The sequence below is a fragment of the Homo sapiens genome, chromosome 10, assembly GCF_000001405.40.
Source record: "Homo sapiens chromosome 10, GRCh38.p14 Primary Assembly".
In the NCBI taxonomy this organism is placed as follows: Eukaryota; Metazoa; Chordata; class Mammalia; order Primates; family Hominidae; genus Homo; species Homo sapiens.
The window spans coordinates 63,369,367-63,388,681 of record NC_000010.11 but is presented as its reverse complement, the minus strand read 5'-3'; the positions used below and the strand labels follow the sequence as shown (position 1 = coordinate 63,388,681).

The 19,315-nt window shown below is 36.9% G+C and overlaps 1 protein-coding gene and 1 non-coding gene across 12 annotated transcripts in view; both read left to right on the top strand.

The window, feature by feature from the left end:
• Positions 1 to 19,315, top strand: part of JMJD1C (jumonji domain containing 1C) — a 354,666-nt gene that overhangs the window by 133,209 nt on the left and 202,142 nt on the right. For all 11 annotated transcript variants that reach the window (XM_017015897.2, NM_001322258.2, NM_001318154.2 and 8 more), the window contains one exon: positions 8,200 to 8,364. Coding sequence is in view for 3 of the 11 variants with exons in the window: in NM_001322252.2 (NP_001309181.1) it covers positions 8,200 to 8,364 (165 nt within the window). In the remaining 8 variants the exon portion in view is untranslated. The remainder of the gene's footprint in view (positions 1 to 8,199; positions 8,365 to 19,315) is intronic.
• MIR1296 (microRNA 1296) lies at positions 15,634 to 15,725 on the top strand. Its single transcript, NR_031566.1, has one exon. It is a non-coding gene; the product is annotated as a microRNA 1296 (primary transcript).

Below are 19,315 nucleotides of genomic sequence, written 5' to 3'. Positions count from 1 at the left end.
TACTTAATTTCTGGTTGTTTTGTGTATTCATTGTTCCTTTCTCTCTTCTTGTTAACATTGTGGTTTGGTGGTTTTCTGTAGTGCTATCGTTTGAGGCTTTTCTCTTCCTTGATTGTATTTGCTCTACCACTGGGGTTTATATTCTGTGTGTTTTCATGATGATAGATACCATTCTTTATTTTCCCAGCATCAGACTCCTTTAAGCATTTCTTGTAGATTTGGTCTAGTGATGATGAATTTTCTTGCTTTTACTTGTTTAGGAAAGACTTTATTTCCCCATCATTTATGAAGGATAACATTGTTTGGTATAGTATATTCGGCTTTTTTTTTTTTCTCCTTCAGCTTTTTGAACCTATTATCCCATTGTCTTCTGCCCTGTAAGGATTGTGCAGAGAAACTGCCGTTAGTCTGATTGGGGTTCATTAATAAGTGACTAGATAGTTATGTCTTGCTTTTTAAAGAATTCTCTGTCTTTGACTTAGTGACATTTTTACTATAAGGTGCTCTGGAAAAGATATTTTTGAGTTATATACCTTTGGGGATCTTTGTGCTTTATCTGAGTATCTAAACTTTTTGCCAGCCTTGCGAAGTTTTCATCTATTATTTTGTTAAACAGACTTTCTAGCCCTTCAAGTTTTCTTGTTGCCTCCTCAAACACAAAAAATTTGAAAATTTGGTAGCTTTATGATGTCCTATATGTGATGAGGATTTGCTCGTTCTTTAAGGAAATTTAAATTTTCTTTTTTCGGCCAGGCGCAGTGGCTCACGCCTGTAATCCCAGCACTTTGGGAGGCTGAGACAGGCAGATCACAAGGTCAGGAGATCAAGACCATCCTGGCTAACACGGTGAAACCCCGTCTCTACTAAAAATACAAAAAATTAGCCGGGCATGGTGGTGGGCACCTGTAGTCCCAGCTACTCCGGAGGCTGAGGCAGGAGAATGGCAGGAACCCAGGAGGTGGAGCTGGCAGTGAGCTGAGATCACGCCACTGCACTGTAGCCTGGGCGACAGAGCGAGACTCCGTCTCAAAAAAAAAAAAAAAAAAAAAAAATTTTTTTTTTCTTTTTTCTTCTGACTGGGTTATTTCAAAAGGTCTGTCAAGTTCTGAGATTTTTTTCTTCTATTTGATCTAGTCTGTTGAAGGTTTGAATGTATTTTGTTTGATTCGATGAATACATCAGGTCCCGAATTTGTTTCATCCTTTTTTATGCTGTCTCTTTGGTGAATTTTTCATTCATATCCTGAATTGTTTTTCTTTTCTTTGTATTATTTTCTTTGTGTCTCAGTGTAACAGAATACTTTAGTATCAATATTTTCAATTCCAAGATTTTATAAATTTCTTTTTGATTGGAATCTGTTGTTGGAGAATTACTGTGTTCCTTTGAATTTATTATCATGGATTCACATTTTCTTGCTTCTTCTTGTTTCTTTTATTTCTACATTGATATCTATGCATCAGGTATTGACAGTCACTTCTTCCAATAGTTTGAATTTCCTTTCATAGGGGAGGAATTTTTCCTAGAGATGTATCTGTGGTGTTGGTTGGGTAGGGCACTTTTGCTTTGATTCTGGATATATGCAGTGGTGTAGACTCCATGTGATTTTTTTAGGCATTAAACAGGGTCAGTGTTGTCTGTGATTTCTTCTGTGGTTTAGTGGGTGGTTCTTAATGGAAGCTGTGGTGACATTTTATTAGGGAATGGGTTGCCACATGGGCCACTTTGGGCTCCTTTGGTGTTAGTCAGAAGATCATGTCTGTTTTGGGGCTTCAGTGTGGCGTATGCTGCCACCAGAGTTAGTGGGTCTGTGCAGGTCGATTCTTGGGCTTCCAGGCAGCTTGCTTGGGTGCCAGGAATGGCAGTAGTGGGGTGAATGAGTGGGCAGGTTACTGGGCCCTGGGCGGTAGGCGTGGCATAGTTGATGTCAGTAGCAGTGGCAAGACAACCCCCTGGAACCCAAGCATTTCACTTTGGTGTTGGCAGAGGTTGTGACAGGCTGACTAAATCAGTCTCCAGGCCTGCTGCAGGTGCCCACATGTGGGTGGGTGTCAGCTTTGGTGATAGTGGTCAGTTGAATGGACCCTGGCCCCTGGAAAAAGTGCTCAGGTACCAATGGTGGTAGACTAAGCAAGGTAATCTCCAGACCCTGAGCAATGTGCTTACATACTGGAGGGGGCTGAGCTTGGATGAGCAGACCCGTCCTCAGGTTCCCTGATTGTTTGTGCAGGCACTGGCTGTGGTCAACAGGGGTGGCATGATCCCCAGACTACCAGTGGAATGGTCAGGTGAGGGCTCCAGCCATCATGTTGCAGCCCTGCTACTGGGGAAGGTGGGTTGCTTTCTGTTGGAGCAGCTGTAGGCAGGCAACTGGTAACTGGGCAGGTGCACTTTGCTAGGGTGTTGACCCTGGCAGCAGTAGCCCACAGTACAGATTCTGGGGTCTGTGAAGTTTGTATTTAGGGCATATGAAAATGCCTAGTTACCCCACTGCTAGGGAGGGTGGGGTCCGGCTAGTACCTTGTGTTTTCCTTCAGGGCTGTTGATTTGGGAGATAACTTACTCTTTTTGGGGTGTGTGTGTGTGTGTGTCTGTGTATGTGTGTATGTTTCACATTTTTTAGGGTTAGCCTGCATCCAAAGAGAGTTTATTCTTTACAATAGTGAATCTTTTCATTTGTGAACACAGTGTATCTATTTAAGACTTAAGTTTCCATGTTTGGTGTATTGTAGTTTTCACCGTATATGCTCTGAACATTTTTGTTATATTTCTTCTTCATTTTTTTCTACTTTTTATTGTCTTAAAATACTGTTCAAATCAGGATCTGGAGTATCCTGGGTTATACAAACCTATATATAAGTAAATATACATTTTTTATCGTAGTTTGCTTTATTGCACTTAGCAGATGCTGAATGTTTTTAAATAAATTTGAGGTTTTATGATAGGTGAAATGACATGCACCTGTAATCCCAGTTACTCGGGAGGTTGAGGTGAGAGGATTGCTTGAGGCCAGGAGTTTGAGACCAGCCTGAACAATATAGCAAGACCCCATGTCTAAAATAAATTTAAAAAAGAAACATTAGCCGGGTCATGGTAACATGCACCTGTAGTCCCAGATGCTTGGGAGGCCATGGTGGGAGGATTGCTTGAGCCTAGGAGTTGGAGGCTACAGGGAGCTATGATCTTACCACTATACTCCAGCCTGGGTGATAGAGCAAGACCCTATCTCTTAAAAAAAAGCAAAAAAAAAAAAAAAAAAAAAAAAAAAGGCGGGGGCAGGGAAGGCATGGGATTTGTGACAACTTTGCATCTATTAAGTCTGTCGGTTTCATTTTTCCATCTGCACGTGGAAAAATATTTTCATGGGTCTGTTACATTTCAATTATCACGATATTTCAAACTTTTATTATTATTACTATTACATCTCTTATGGTGATGTGTCATCAGTGATCTTTGATGTTAGCATTGTAATTGTTTTGGGCACCAGAAGCCACACCCGTATAAGAAGGCAAACTTAATCCAGAACACTATGTGTGTTCTGACTGCTCCACTAACCAGCCATTCCCCTGTCTCTTTCCCTCTTCTTGAACCTCCGGACCTCCCTATTCCTTGAGACACAATAATATTGAAATTAATCCAATTAATAATCCTATAGTTGCCTGTATGTTTTCAAGTGAAAGGAATAGTCACACATCTCTAACTTGAAATCAGAAAGCTAGCTTAGCGAGGAAGGCATGTCAAAGCCAAGACAGAGCACAAAGCTAGGCCTGTAGCACCACACAGTTAGACAAGTTGTTATTGCCAAGGAACAGCTTTTGAAGGAAATTAAAAGTGCTACTCCAGTAAACACAGGGATGATAAGAAAGTGAAACGTTGTTATTGCTGATATGGAGAAGCCTTATGGACAGGCCAACTCTCTTGTTAGGGACTACAGTAACTGGTGACTTTTTGTTGAAGTCATTGCTCATTGACCATTCCATAAATCCTAGGGCCCCTAAGAATTATTTTAAATCTACTTTGCAGGTGCTCTGTAAATGGAACAACAAAGCCTGGATGACAACACATCTGTTTATAGTAGGTTTTTCTAAATATTTTAAGCCCACTGTTGAGATGTACTACTCAGAGAAAAAGATTCCTTTCAAAGTATTACTTCTCATTGACAGTGCATCTGGTCACCCAAGAGCTCTCAAGGAGATTAATATTTTCATGCCTGCTAGTACAATTTTCATTCTGCAGCCCATAGATCAAGGAATAATTTTGATTTTCAAGTCTTATTATTTAAGAAATACATTTTGTAAAGCTATAGCTGCCAGAGATAGTGATTCCTCTGATGGATCTGAGCAAAGTAAACTGAAAACCTTTTGTAAAGGATTCAGTATTCTAGATGCCATTAAGAACATTCATGATTCATGGGAGGAGGTCATAATATCAACATTGAGGTGTTTAAGACTTTCAAGGGGGAAGTCATTGCAGATGTGGTAGATATATCAAGAGATTTGTAATCAAAACTAGAGCTTGAAGATGTGAGAGAACTGCTGTAATCTCATGGTTGAACTTGAATGGATGAGGCATTGTTTCTTATGGATGGGCAAAGAACATGGTTTTTTGAAATAGAACTGAATACTACTTAACCGTTGGTGATAATGCAACCTTAGCTTGTGAGAGGATTGACTCCAGTTTCAAAAGAGGTTCAGCTGTGGGTAAAGTGGCCAACAATATTGCATGCCCTAGGGAAATCTTTGATGAAAGGAAGAATTAATAGATGTGACAAACTTTTGTTGTCTTATTTTAAGAAATTGTCACAAACACCCCACCTTGAGCTACCACCACCCTGAGCAGTCAGCAGCCAAAAACGTTGAGGCAAGGCACTTTATCGGCAAAAAGATACTACAACTCTCTGAAAGCTCAGATGATTGTTACCGTTTTTTGGCAGTAAGAACATTTTTAAGTTAAAGTGTGTACATTGTTTTTGATTTTTATTTTTTGAGACTGGGTCTTGCTCTGTCACGTAGGCTGCAGTGCAGTGGTGTGATCATGGCTCATTGCAGCCTCAACCTCCCTGGCTGAAGCAACCCTCCCATTTTAGCCTCCCGAGTCTCTGGGACCATAGGCACATGCCACCATGCCTGGCTAATTTTTTTCATTTTTTGTAGAGACAAGGTCTTACTGTGTTGCCTAAGCTGGTCTTGAACTCCTGAGTTTAAGTGATCCTCCCACCTGTGTCTCCCAAAGTGGTGGGATTACAGGCAAGGAGGTACCCTTAACGATGGGTTTTATTAGAAATAGCCAGCTGTTTTGTTGGCTTCTTCCTTGACTTGGATTTCTTCCTTGACTTGGTATGGATAGTTAACTAGAAACAGATGTTAACTCCTTGACCAGTGCATTTCTCTTTCCTCATTCTAATAGATAAGCTTTAATGAATATCTTTAGTGGATATTCTAATAGATAAGCTTTTTTTTTTTTTTTTAAAGAAGCTTCCTAGTGGGCAGCAGTATAAACACCACCAAATCAAACTTAACCTTTTACCAGGTTGCTTTTATTTTTTAAAGACCATGATTGAGTCTAAGAGTCAGGAGATTTTTAATGTTAATTAAAAACTTTATATGTATGCAGCACTGTAGTGAGCACTAAAAATAAATGAAAGAACAGTTCTACCTTAAGTGAGTTTACATGCATAATTTAAAGATACTTTTATTACACTTAAAAATATAGGACGGTATTTGCTTATATACTAATACAGTGTAAGCTATAAAAAAAGTAATTGCAGTAGAAATTCAAAGCTAAGTTGGAGTTGAAGTTGGGGGATGTAAACATCATGGAAGAACTTGAGCTAGGCCAAAAGAGCAACCATGATTCAAATAAGTGGAAATGGAAACTCTTCAGGTGTAAGGGAGCAGAAGATGGGTGGCAGAATTAGGATAAAAATATAAGTGATGAGAAGACTGCTTCCAGCGCAAAAGAATGAAAGTAGGGGAGCGAAGGGTTGAATGATTGAATGTCCTATGAGCATAGAGTCAGCTTCAGTTTTCCAAATTATAACATCCTTGTCTTGTTCCCATCTTAAAGGAAATGCTTTTGATTTTTTACTGTTGTGTATGATGTTAGCAGTGGGTTTTTCATATAGACCTTTTTATATTTAGATATTTTCATCCTGTTCCTAGTTTGTTGCATGTTTTTAATCATGAAAAGCCATGGAATTTGGTCAGATGCTTTTTCTGCATCATTAAAGATGATTTTTTTCCTTTATTCTGTTAATGTATATTACATTAATTGAACGTCATATGTTGAGCCATCTTTGTACCATTGACTACCTTTGTAAGTAATGTTTTATTAGCATAAAGTCAAGCTCAATTGTTTACATATTGTCTGTGGTTGTCTCTGTCTGTGACAGAGACAGAAGGAAACAATTATGACAGAAACCATCTGGTTTGCAAAATATGAAGTATTTACTATTTACTCTCTTCTGTGTGTGTGTGACGGAGTTTTGCTCTTATCACCCAGGCTGGTGTGCAGTGGCCTGATCTTGGCTCACTGCAACCTCCGCCTCCTGGATTCAAGCCATTCTCCTGCCTCAGCTTCCTGAGTAGCTGGGACTACAGGCACCCGCCACCACACCCAGCTAATTTTTGTATTTTTGGTAGAGATGGTGTTTCACTCTGTGGCCAGGATGGTCTCGAACTCCTGACCTCAGGTGATCCACCCGCCTTAGCTTCCCAAAGTGCTGGAATTACAGGCATGAGCCATCGCGTATGGCTACTATTTACTCTTTAAAAACATTTTCTAACCTCTCCTTCTAGAGTCATCAGTACAGACATCATTATTTAGTGTACATTTAGAAGATAATGGGCTAATCTTTACTGATCAACACTCTGTAAATTGCTTTACTTGATATAGTTATGGTTTATCTCCCTGTCATAACTAAGGGGTATAATCTGATTAAGGGAAGTTAAATGATGGTTTTATGAAAAATGTTAAGTTAAAGAATGAATTTGTTAATGTCCTTTCTAATTCAAGTTCATGGCTTATATTTTGAAATATTGTTATACTCATTAACCAACCTCTTTTCTTCTCCCCCCTTCACCCATCCTAGTCTCTGATAACCATCATTCTACCCTCTACCTCCATGAGATCCACTTTTTGTTTGTTTTTTGAATAGACAGAGTCTCATTCTGTCACCTGGGCTGCAGTGCAGTGGTGCGATCATAGCTCACTGTAGCTATCATAGCTCACTGTAGCCTCAAATTCCTGGGCTCAAGTGATCCTCCTGTCTTAGCTTCCTGAGTAGCTGGGACTAAAGGCATGTGCCACCATGTCCAGCTAAGTTTTTTACTTTTCTCTTTTGTGAGAGTCAGAGTCTCACTATGTTGCCAAGGCTGATCTTGAAGTCCTGGGCTCAAGTGATCCTCCCATCTCCTCCTCCCAAAGTGCTGGCATTACAGGCATGAGCCACCATGCTGGGTCAAGATCCATGTTTTTGACTCCCACATATGAGTGTGAACATGTGATATCTGTCTTTTGTACCTGGCTTACTTCATATAACATAATCACCTCCAGTTCTATTCATACTGCTGCAAAAGACAAGATTTCATTCTTTTTTATGGCCTAATTGTATTCTATTGTGTATATATACCACATTTTCTTTACCCATTCATATGTTGACAGATACTTAGGTTGATTTCATTATCGTGGCTCTTAGGAATAGTGTTGCAATAAACACTGATGTGCAGCTGTCTCTTCAATATACCTTCCTTTCTTTTGGACATTTACCCAGCAGTGGGATTACCAGATCCTATGATAGATCTACTTATAGTGTTTTGAGGAACCTCCATACTGTTTTCCATACTGGAGGTACTAATTTACATTCCCACCAACAGTGTACTAGAGTTCCCCTTTCTGCTTCCTACAATTAGATAGAAGGAGTAAGTGCTAGTGTTCGATAGCACAGTATGGTAACCATAGTTAGCAATAATTTATTGTATTTTTCAAAATAGCTAGAAGAGGATTTGAAATGTTTCTAACACAAATGATAAATATTTGAGGTGATGGATATTCTAATTACCCTGATTTGATCATTACACATTGTGTGCATGTATCACGATATCATATGTACCCCATAAATATGTACAATTATTATGCATTAGTAAAAAAAGATATACCACTCTTCTATTTTGCTAATTGAATTTTGTGTTTTTGTTTTCATAGGTGTATGTGGAATTTGATGATCTTGAATGGGATAAACGAGAGTGGGTTAAAGTTTATGAAGATTTTTCAACTTTCTTGGTGGAATACCACTTAATCTGGGCCAAAAGGAATGACCCTAGCCAGACTCAGGGATCAAAGAGCAAACAGATTCAGTGGCCTGCATTGGTAAGATCTATTCCTGTTTCATTAAGCATTTTCATTTGTTCGTTTAAAACAAAGAACAACAACAACAAAACAAAGGCCAGGTTTGGTGACTGACACCTGTAAAACTAGCACTTTGAGAGGCTGAAGCAGGACAATTGCTTGAAGCCAGGAGTTGGAGATCAGCCTGGGCAAAAAAGCGAGACCCCATCTCTACCAAAAAAAAAAAAAAAAAATAGCTGGATGTGGTGGCACATACCTGTGGTCCCAGCTACTTGGGAGGCTGAGGTGGGAGGATCACGTGAGCCCAAGAATCCAAGTCAATGTGAGTTACTGTCACACTGCTGCACTCCAGCTTGAGTAACAGAGTGAGACCCCATCTCTTAACAAAAAAAAAAAGAATAAATGAAAATTTAAGACTAAGAATTAAATAGAAGTTTAGATTCATCTTACTGATTTATAAATTAATATTTTTGAAGAGTCTCTGATGAATCTGGCAGAGATTTTAAAACACTGCCTTCATTTTGTTAAAACAACTTTAGGTGTCTCTTTGTTAGTATTCTGTCAGCGTATGTAGTTAATGAATAAGTTTATTCTATCAAATTAAAATATAAATTGGATTAAAGGGACCTGAGAGATAGTTGACTGTATGCCACGTGGAACAACTTTGCTGAATGAAACTTTGTTAAGTGGGAGATGGAACATACTTTGTATTAAAACATTTAATAACGAGTAATTCTTCTTGGTTTGTTAATCAGTAAATCATTGTGGGTGATAGATGTTTAATGTGTAATTATTCAGGTAATGGATTAAATTACTTATCAGGACATGTTTCATTTAAGAAAATATAATAATTTTCAGTAAATTCTCTGGTACTTTGAAGAGTTTTATTTAAGAAAAGAAACAGGAAGTAAACAAGGTCATTAAATTGTATTAGGAAAAGAGCCACATTCATTTAACTATTGTTATTGCTGTTTTCTGGCAAAACATCTAGCATATAACAAATTTGCAATATTTGTAAAGTTTTCTTCTTATGTTACTATCAAAGAAATATATTAAAAGCTGCTGAAACATTATTGCAGGTATTTGATATAACTAATGAGTTAGGGTAGTTCCTTTCAATTTTTTAAGCCTGCAAATTAACTAATTACAAGGATAGCTTCTGCTTGCTAATAATTTTAATGCATATAAATTTTCTATTTTAGTTAATCCTGATGCTTTTCTGTATAGAATAGAAATTTAATAGATCTGTTTATTTGATTATTCTTTTTTAAGAAGTCAGTGGAGATATGAATAAAAAGACAGGATAGGAAGGGAGGGAAGAGAGTGAATGGAATCAGTGGCATTTTTAAAAACAAAATATAATATTGAAAGATGAAAATAATATCTGTCTGTGACCTGCAGTTTCAATAGAAAATTTTGCATAGCAAACTAAAGAAGATAATTTTATCCATAGTAGGTTTTAAAAAATATTTAATGAGTATGTTGAATTGTTCATATAAAAAGTTTAAACCATTTTAAACTTTTATAGACCTTAACCCAAAAGCATGATTTTAATTTTATAGACCTTAACCCAAAAACTGGATACAATTTATGAGAAATTATGAATAATTAGATGTATAGGTGAATTTTATATGAGAATTCTCAAAAGCACGAAGCAGTAGCATCAATAATATGAAAAACTATACATCAGTATCAGAGTTAAAAAATTAATAAAGCTTTAGAAAAATCTTTGCCTTTTTGTTTTTTTGAGATGGAGTCTCACTCTGTTGCCCAGGCTGGAGTGCAGTGGCATGATCTCGGCTCACTGCAAGCTCTGCCTCCCGGGTTCACGCAGTTCTCCTGCCTCAGCCTCCGGAGTAGCTGGGACTACAGGCGCCTGCCACCACGCCCGGTTAATTTTTTTGTATTTTCAGTAGAGACTGGGTTTCACCGTGTTAGCCAGGATGGTCTCGATCTCCTGACCTCGTGATCCACCCGCCTCGGCCCTCCAAAGTGCTGGGATTACAGGTCTGAGCCACCGTGCCCAGCCAATTTTTGCCCTTTCTTAAAGGCAATTAAGATTGAGATGAATTTCTGTTGTATTCATAAAATACTGATTTTAGAGAGAATTTTTATTGGAAAATACTGTTTAATGATAATTTTGTCATAATTTTACAAAGTTGTTTCTGTTGAAAACCTCTTAGCCTTGAAATTAGGCCTACTTAAACAATCACCAACCTTTTCTTTTTAACTTTATCATATACAAAAGAAAAAGTGATGAAAAATTTGGAAAACACTGTGGTATGAAAGTAATAGAGGATTATCTTTTTAGTCCTATTACTAAGAGATAACTCATATATATTATATATATACTAATATATATAATTTTTGATATATTTTCTTATGAAACATATTGCTCTGGTTCCTTTTTTTTTTTTGCCATACTATTTATTTTATTTATTTAGACAAGATCTCACTTTTCCACACAGGCTGGAGTGCAGTGGTGTGATCACAGCTCACTGCAGCCTTGAACTCCTGGGCTCAAAAAAGATCCTCCCACCTTGGCCTCCCCAGTAGCTAGGACTACAGATGTGTGCCACTATGCCTAGCTAAATTTTTTTTTTTGAGACGGAGTCTTGCTCTGTCGCCCAGGCTGGAGTGCAGTGGTGCAATCTCGTCTCACTGCAACCTCTGCCTCCCGGGTTCAAGCAATTCTCCTGCCTCAGCCTCTCGAGTAGCTGGGACTACAGGTGCCTGCCATCATGCCCGGCTAATTTTCATATTTTTAGTAGAGACAGGGTTTTTCAACATATTGGCCAGGCAGGTCTTGAACTCATGACCTTGTGATCTGCCTGCCTCAGCCTCCCAAAGTGCTGGGATTACAGGCATGAGTCACCATGCCCGGCCCTCTGCTAAATTTTTTAATAAAAATTTTTAATTGTGGTAAAATGTACTTAACATAAAATTTGCCATTTTAACTGTTTTTGAGTACACGGGTCATTGGTAGTAAGTACATTCGTGTTGTGTGTTACCACTATTGTCATCCAAACACAGAACATTTTCTGTCTTGCAAAACTGAAACTGTACTCATTAAAGAGCAGTTCCTTATTCCCCCGTCTTCCTGGCCCACCATTCTACTTTCGGTCTCTGAGTATCTCATATGAATGTAATTATACAGTATTTGTCCTTTTGTAACGGGCTCATTTCACTGACAATGTCTTCAGGGTTCATGCATGTTAAACCATGTGTCACAATTTTCTTCCTTTTTATTGCAAAATAACATTCCATTGTGTTTATACACCACGTTCTTTTCATCCATTTGCCCATTAATGGACAGTTGTGTCACTTCCAGCTTTTGGCTATAGGGAATAATACTGGTATGAACATGGCTGTATAAATATCTGCCCAAGCCTCTGTGTTCAACTATTTGGGTATATACCCAGGAGTAGAATTGCTGGATCAGATGGTAATTGCATTTTTAATTTTTTGAGGCACTTTCATACTGTTTTCCAAGTGGCTGCACCATTTTTCATTTCCACCAGCATTGTGTAAGGGTTCCAGTTTCTTTACATCCTCACCAACATTTACTTTCATTTTTTTGGTATTTACTTTCTCAGTAGGTGTGAAATGGCATGTCATTGTGGTTTTGTTTTATATTTTTCTAATGCTTAATGTGATGTTGAGCATCTTTTCATGTGCTTCTTGGCCATTTGTATGTCTTTTGAGAAATATCTATTCATAAAGTTCTTTGCCTGTTTTTGAATTGGATCATTTGTTTTTTTTGGTGTTAAGTTTTAGGATTTCTCTATGTATTCTTGATATTAATCCCCTTTTAGATACATGATTTGGTAACATTTTCTTTCATTTTACAGGTTGCCTTTTTACTGTGTTAGCAGTGGCCCGTGCTGCACAAAAGTTTTAAATTTTGATGAAGCCCAACTTGTCTGTTTCCGCTTGTTGCTTATGCCTTTGTTGTTGTATTAAAAAAAAATTGCCAAATCCATGTCATGAAGCTTTTCCCCTTATGTTTTCTTCTAAAAGTTGTATAGTTTTAGATCACAAATTTTGGTGAATTAATTGATTTTAAGTTTGGAATATCATGTAAGGGTCCAGCTTTTTTTTACGTGTAGATGTCCACTTTTTCCAGCACCATTTGTTGGAAAGACTGCCTTTGCCCCAGTGAATGGTCTTGACACTGTTACAGAAAATATTTTGACTGTATATGCAAGGGTTTGTTTCTGGGCTTTCTATTCCATTCCATTGGTCTGTATGTTCTTATGCTGATACCAGCTCACTGTTTTGATTACTGTTGCTTTGTAGTACATTGTGAAATCAGGAAATGTTTTTCCGTCAACTTTCTTCTTTCTCAGGATAGTTTTGGTTATTCAGGGTCCCTTGAGATTCTGTATGAATTTCAGGAGAGATTTTTCTTTTTCTCCAGAAAAAGGTCACTTGGATTTTGATAGGGATTGAATTGAATCTGTAGATGGATCTGGGTGGTAGACATCTTAATATTAAGGGCTGGGTGCTGTATCCCAGCTCTTTGGGAGGCTAAGGCGAGAGGATTGCTTGAGGCCAGGAGCTCAACACCAGGCTGAACAATGCAGCGAGCCCCCTTCTCTGCAAAAAAAATAAAATAAAATAAGCCGAGTGTGGTGGCTCACGCCTATAGTCTCAGCTACTTGAGAGGCTAAGTCTGAAGGATTGCATAAGCCCAGGAGTTCATGGCTGCAGTGAGCCATGATTGTGTCATTGCACTCAAGCCTGGGTGACAGAGTGAGACCCTGTCTCTAAAACTACACACACACACACACACACACACACGTGTAAATATTAAGTCTTCTAGTCTTTGAACAGGGGTGTCTTTTTACTTATGTTTTCTTTAATTTTGCTCAGTTATGTTTTGTAGTTTTGTTTATTTCATCTTCTAGGTAATTTATTCTTTTTTGATGCTCTTGCAAATGGAATTATTTGTTAATTTCATTTTCAAATTATTCATTATTGTTATATAGAAACTAGTCAGCGTGAGCCTGTAGTCCTAGCTACTTGGGAAGCTGAGGTGGGAGGATCCCTTGAGCCCAGAAATTCAAGGCTGCAGTGAGCTATGATTGCACCAGGGCACTCCAGCCTGGGTGACAAACCAAGACCTTGCCTCAAAAAAAAAAAAAAAAAAAAAGCCAATTTTTATGTGTTGATTTCATATCCTGTTGCTTAGGTAATATCCTAGTCAATGGTGAAAGACTGAAAGCTTTTCCTCTAAGATCAAGAATAAGACAAGGGATCCCTGCTTTTGCCATGTCCACTCAACATAGTATTTGAAGTTATAGTCCAGAAATTAGACCAGAAAAAGACAAATAGCATTTAAATTGGAAAGAAAGAAGTAAAATTGTGTCTGTTCACAGATGATATAATCTTATACTTAGAAAACCATAAAGACTTCACAACAAAGCCTACTGGAACTAATAAATGAATTTGGCAAATTAGCAAGTACAAAATCTCTGCCTTCTTTTAAACATAGTTTTAGCTAACACTGCATTAAAATTGTAGATCCTGCTTTTTTGCCTAACATCTATCCTCTACATTTCTCTTCATGAGTAGTAATTTAGGATCATTTTTAATGGCTGCATAATATTTAATCTTATAATGACCCATTTCCTTAATGTTTGACATTGTAGTTTCCAGTTCTAGGGAGCATTATAAGCAACTGGGATAAATACCATTGCAAGCCTTTGTCTGCATCTCTGATTTTTTAAAATGTATATTCATAGTAGTAGAATTAATAATCACAGGGTATGAACTTGAAAGCCACAAAAATCTATCTCCTGACACTCTTCACAAATTGTGTAAAGGTTGTACTGACTGCCATTGTCCTCAGTCAGTGTTGGGGTGTTTTTATCTCACTCATCACACCCTTGTAAGCATTAATTATTTATTTGCAGTTTATCTTGTTTTAAAACACAAATATTTGGCCAAAACAGGAGGAGTTTTACATCCTAAGGGGATGCAGCATTGAATGTTACTCTTTCTCTGCTAATTGGATATTTGAAAATAATATTTCGTTGTTTCAATTTGCATTCCTTTAATAGGGTGAATTTTTTTCATGTTTATGAGCAACTTGTATTTTTAGTGAATTGTTATTTAGTACTTATTAGGGTTTTGAGTTTTTTATATTTGTTATGAGCTTTCTTTATATTATTACAGATATTATAACCTTTTTGTCATATTTCATAGTTTGCTTAGCCAGTTGTTTGATAGTAAGTCTTTTTGAATTGTATGTTTATTTTAAAGTCTATGCAATGGGATATTGTCATTAATTCCAGTAGTCAGGTTATGTGTGCTTGCCTTCCTTCCTTTTTTCTTTTGTTTTAGGAGATTGTAAAAATTAATAAACAAGTGAAGTGAGAATGCTTGTTTGTAATAATTAAGAAAATAGTCAATTTAAGTTTCATAAGCATTTTGCAAACATTTATATACAGTTGATATGACTGAGATTTTATTGTTTCCTTTTTTGTTCATTAAAATTTGGCTTCTTTAAGGATGTCTATAAACAGCAATTATAAAGTTAAGCGTTTTAAAATTCCTACAGCGTAATGAAATACTATATCTACAGATTTGAGAAATTTGAGGGATCTGTATATGAGATGGCAATAGAATGAAACAGTAGAAACTAATACTTTGTCTTTAATTTTCTACAAATTTAATGTTTCTATTTCTGTGCACATGATACTTGCTTTATGTTCTTTTGTATTTAAACATGTTTGTATTTATTATCTTCTTTCTAGTTGTTTCACTCCTCGTGTGGTACTTGTTTAATATTACATATCAGTTACGTTATCTTGTCTACCTCTTATACCTAGAAATTAGTGGAAACTGGCAGTGTACCTGCTGTTTCTTGAGATCATGACAAGACAAAAACAAATCCTGTTGTCTCATTAACATATTTTAAAGTATATTTTTTAAAACTTAACATAATTGCATCTTCAGCAAAATATGAATAGTATAATACCCAGGCTCCTTCTCTGGAATTGTCTGGTTCCTCTTTCTTTCTAGGATATCAGTAGCAAAACATTTATGGGAGCACCACATGTAAGATGCTGAAGTGGTGTCTTTTTTTGCTTGGTCCTGTACAATCAGAGTACCACTTGAGGCCATTCTAATGCTGTAGGCTGAGGTAACTTGCGTCTTCATGTAAGTTACTTAATAGATTGTTAAATTTTATTTACTTTTTAATAAAGTAAAATACTTGTGAAAGCACATTTATCGGCACCAGGGAAAGAAAGTGTTGGCATTCATAATTGAAATCAACGAATCACCTACCTAACTGGGTTAGGGCCCTGGCTCCATCTCCTTTAGGAAAACCTTCTGTGGGGAGTGGGGCTTCGACCCTAACCCAGGTGGGCTGTAACACTGCTGTGTTTTCTAAGGGGCAGAGTTTTCTACTACTTTTCCGCTGGCCCAGCCTTCCAGATCACCCCAACCAGTGCTCCTATATAACCATCCTGTGCTCCTATAGAACTTTGTTTTGTACCTCTGTTTTAACAATCAGCACATTCTGCTTTGTATTATACCTATTTGTTTGCATGTCTGTCTTCCCTTAATAGATTGTAAGTTCTTTGAGGACAGGAGTCATGTCTTAGTCATCTATGTATGGTTCCTTGGAGTCTAGCACAGTGCTTTACCCATCTCAGAAAGTAAATTCTTATTTTAAAGTGATGAATGTGCTGCAACCCAGCTAGTGAAAAAGAACCCTACTGGGAGTTATCACAAGTTTTCTGACTATTAACATATGATAATATCAAAGGACAGGAAAGCAGAATCACCCAATTGTGGTAAAACTGTGAGTTACCAATTTTAAACATGTCAATATATAATAAAAAATACTAAAAAGCTTATAATGCCAATTCTCATCAGGTACAAATTTGATTCCTGAAATCACCAAGGGGAAAAATGTAAAATTACCTGAAATGCGTTATTTTAAAGATGTTAAAGGAAGAAACAGAAGTCCTCACAATTGACTTAAATATTCAAATCTTTGATAATTTACTTGAATTTCTGAATTGAGTTTTAGGAAACTCAGACTACTTTTTCTCAATGTAGCTTTTCCTTCATAGATAGGCAATTCTGGTTCAACCAGGAATTGTGATGACATCATAAACACGTAAACTCTTAGCAATTTATTTATTTTAAAATATTCTCTTAGAGTGCTTTTTACTTACTATCTGTTCCAAAAGAAACCCCCTCAAAGGAGAATAGAGTTCACTGCTCTTTGGGACAAGATTACCTTTATATCCAGCAGTTATCAAAGTTGGTTTAGATTATGGCCTCAAGCAAATTTTACTAAAATGTGAAAATATGCCACCTTCCAAGTCAGAAATAAACTTTGGAGTATGTTCATTTAAAGAGTTTTTACATATTTATAATTGAATTTCCACAATTAGAATAAACAGTTGCATGTCTTTTTGTACTTTGTTAAATAATGAAATGGAAGTAATGACAATATAACTTCAGGATTGTTATTTCTCTACAAGGTAAAGCACTTTAAGAGATCAAATTATACATAATAAAATATTAAGCTTTTTAAATGATAAACTCTAATACTGGCATGTATTGCAATGAACGAGTTCACACACTCATATCTTGTGGATTATAAAATGACATTATTCTTTTGGAAAGTATTATGTTATAAGAACCATAAGAAGTTCATACTCTTTGATTCATTAATTCTAGTCTTAGGAAACGATGCTTGAAAAACAGTTTTTAAAAAGTGTATTCAGTTTAGCTAATGTTTGTCACGTACCTCATACGAATTAGACACTGTGGTGGGAGCTGCAGATTAAAAAAATGAAAGGTTTAATGTTATTAGAAGAAAGATGTTTATTGCAGTCTTATTAAAGAGGAAAAGAAAAATGGAACAACCTTGATGTTCAACAATTTGTGAATGCTGTTAAATTAATATTTTGGCATATTATGCAGCTTTAAAAGTGATAATTGTACATACTTTAGGAAAATGTAGAGAAAATTTAAGTAAAAAAAATTAATTACATCAGCACTAGAATTATGTATTTAAAAAGTCTTATAGACCAGGGACAGTGGCTCATGCCTATAATCCCAGCACTTTGGGAGGTTGAGGCGGGAGAATTGCTTGAGTCCAGGAGTTCAAGACCAGCCAGGGCAGCATAGCTATACCCTCATCCCTACCAAAAAAAAAAAAAAATTAGCCTATTGTAGTGGCGCAAGCCTTGTAGTCCCAGCTACTCAGGAGGTTGAGGTGGGAGGATTGCTTGACTCCAGGAGTACAAGGCTATGGTGAGCTATGATTATGCCATTGCACTCCAGCCTGGGCAATGGAGCAAGACCCTGTCTCAACGGAAAATATATATATTATAAAGTAATGGAGATCATTATTTTATATTATGGCAGAATTTTGCCTGACCAAAATTGTCTTTTCCCTAAAAAACAACTATTATTTCCTAGCAAATTGGAAATTTCATATAATGATGTTATTCAGTATTTTATATTTTGGAGGTAGTCTTCTTCAAATGAGTTATTTTAGTAAACTTGTTTTATGTTTCTGTTAATATACTTTGATAGGTATTATTTGTGTTTTGCTATTGCAGCATTTAAAAAACTGTCCTTAATATACAAAGAATTAACACTTAATAAAAATGACAGCTTAAACCATAACAAAGTAAAATATAATGAAGATTATTTAAGGCTTGTTTTAAGTCTGTCTGAATTTCTTGTTTACTTCTAGATTTGCATGGCTTGAACGTTAGAATTGGGGGGAAAATAGCAGTTATCAAGGAAGGTAGCATAATATGTTAAGGACATAGACTTTGTGGCATATTTCTTGGTTCAAATCCTGATTCTTCCATTTACTGTTAATGTCATTTATACTCTGTATGTCTCACTGTGTTCATAATAGTAATATCTACCACACAGAGTAGTGAAGATCAAGCAAGACAGTATATAAATAAAACTTCAGTATAGCACTGCAGTGAGTTTAGATAGGTGTACACTTTGAGAGAAACCTCTGTAAGAACACCCTCACTTCTGGCACTAGTTTCAAGTTTGAGGCATTCCCAAAACCATCCACAGGGTTGATAAATCACTGGAAGATTGATATAACTCATTGAGAGCTGTTACATTCATGCCTACAGTTTATTGCAGAGAAAGTATACGAATTAAAATCAGCCAGGGGAAGAGATGTTTAGGGTAGAGTCCAGACTCTTCTCCCTGTGCAGTCATGTCCAGCATTATCTTTTTATGTCCACAGTATGTGAGTTTCGTCAGTGAAGAAACTCATCTGAGTCTTTGATTTTCCAGTTTTACTGGGGCTCAAAATCACATACTAGCTGAAAGGTGTAGCTTTGGCCTCTGGGAGGTCAGACTAATAACTTTAGTTCTCACTTCTTCTGGAGGTCAGAATTGATACTGGAATGTCGAAAGCCCCCATTGTAAATCACATTGTTAAACTGTCCAGTGGCCAAAGCCTCCAGGCAAACAAAAACACTCCTATCAAGCAGGTACTCCTAAGAAGCAAGATATTCTAGAGCCCTGGAGATCATCTCTCAGTTGCCAAGGTGGAAGCCCAGGCATCTTTTTCTTCTTTGGTGTATAGGCTATGCCCTAGCCTTTGGCCTACACTCTTAAAGCAAAATGAATATATTTGAACGTCTACATTTAGGTTTTATATGACAGACATTGCAGTAGTAACTTTTTGAATATGCCTAATATTGGGAGGAGCCAGTGTTGAATAGGTGTACATTTAAATAAACAGTCAATCTAATTTATAAAGCCATTATGTACATCATTTTCTTGTACTAATTTAATTACTCATTTTCCCCCGGATTTACCACTATTTTTGTATCTTATGAAAAATTCATGCAGGACTATTGGCATAGAAATTAGTTGATGGGCTGGGCACGGTAGCAAACGCCTGTAATCCCAGCACTTTGGGAGGCTGAGGTGGGGGGTATCACTTGAGGTTAGG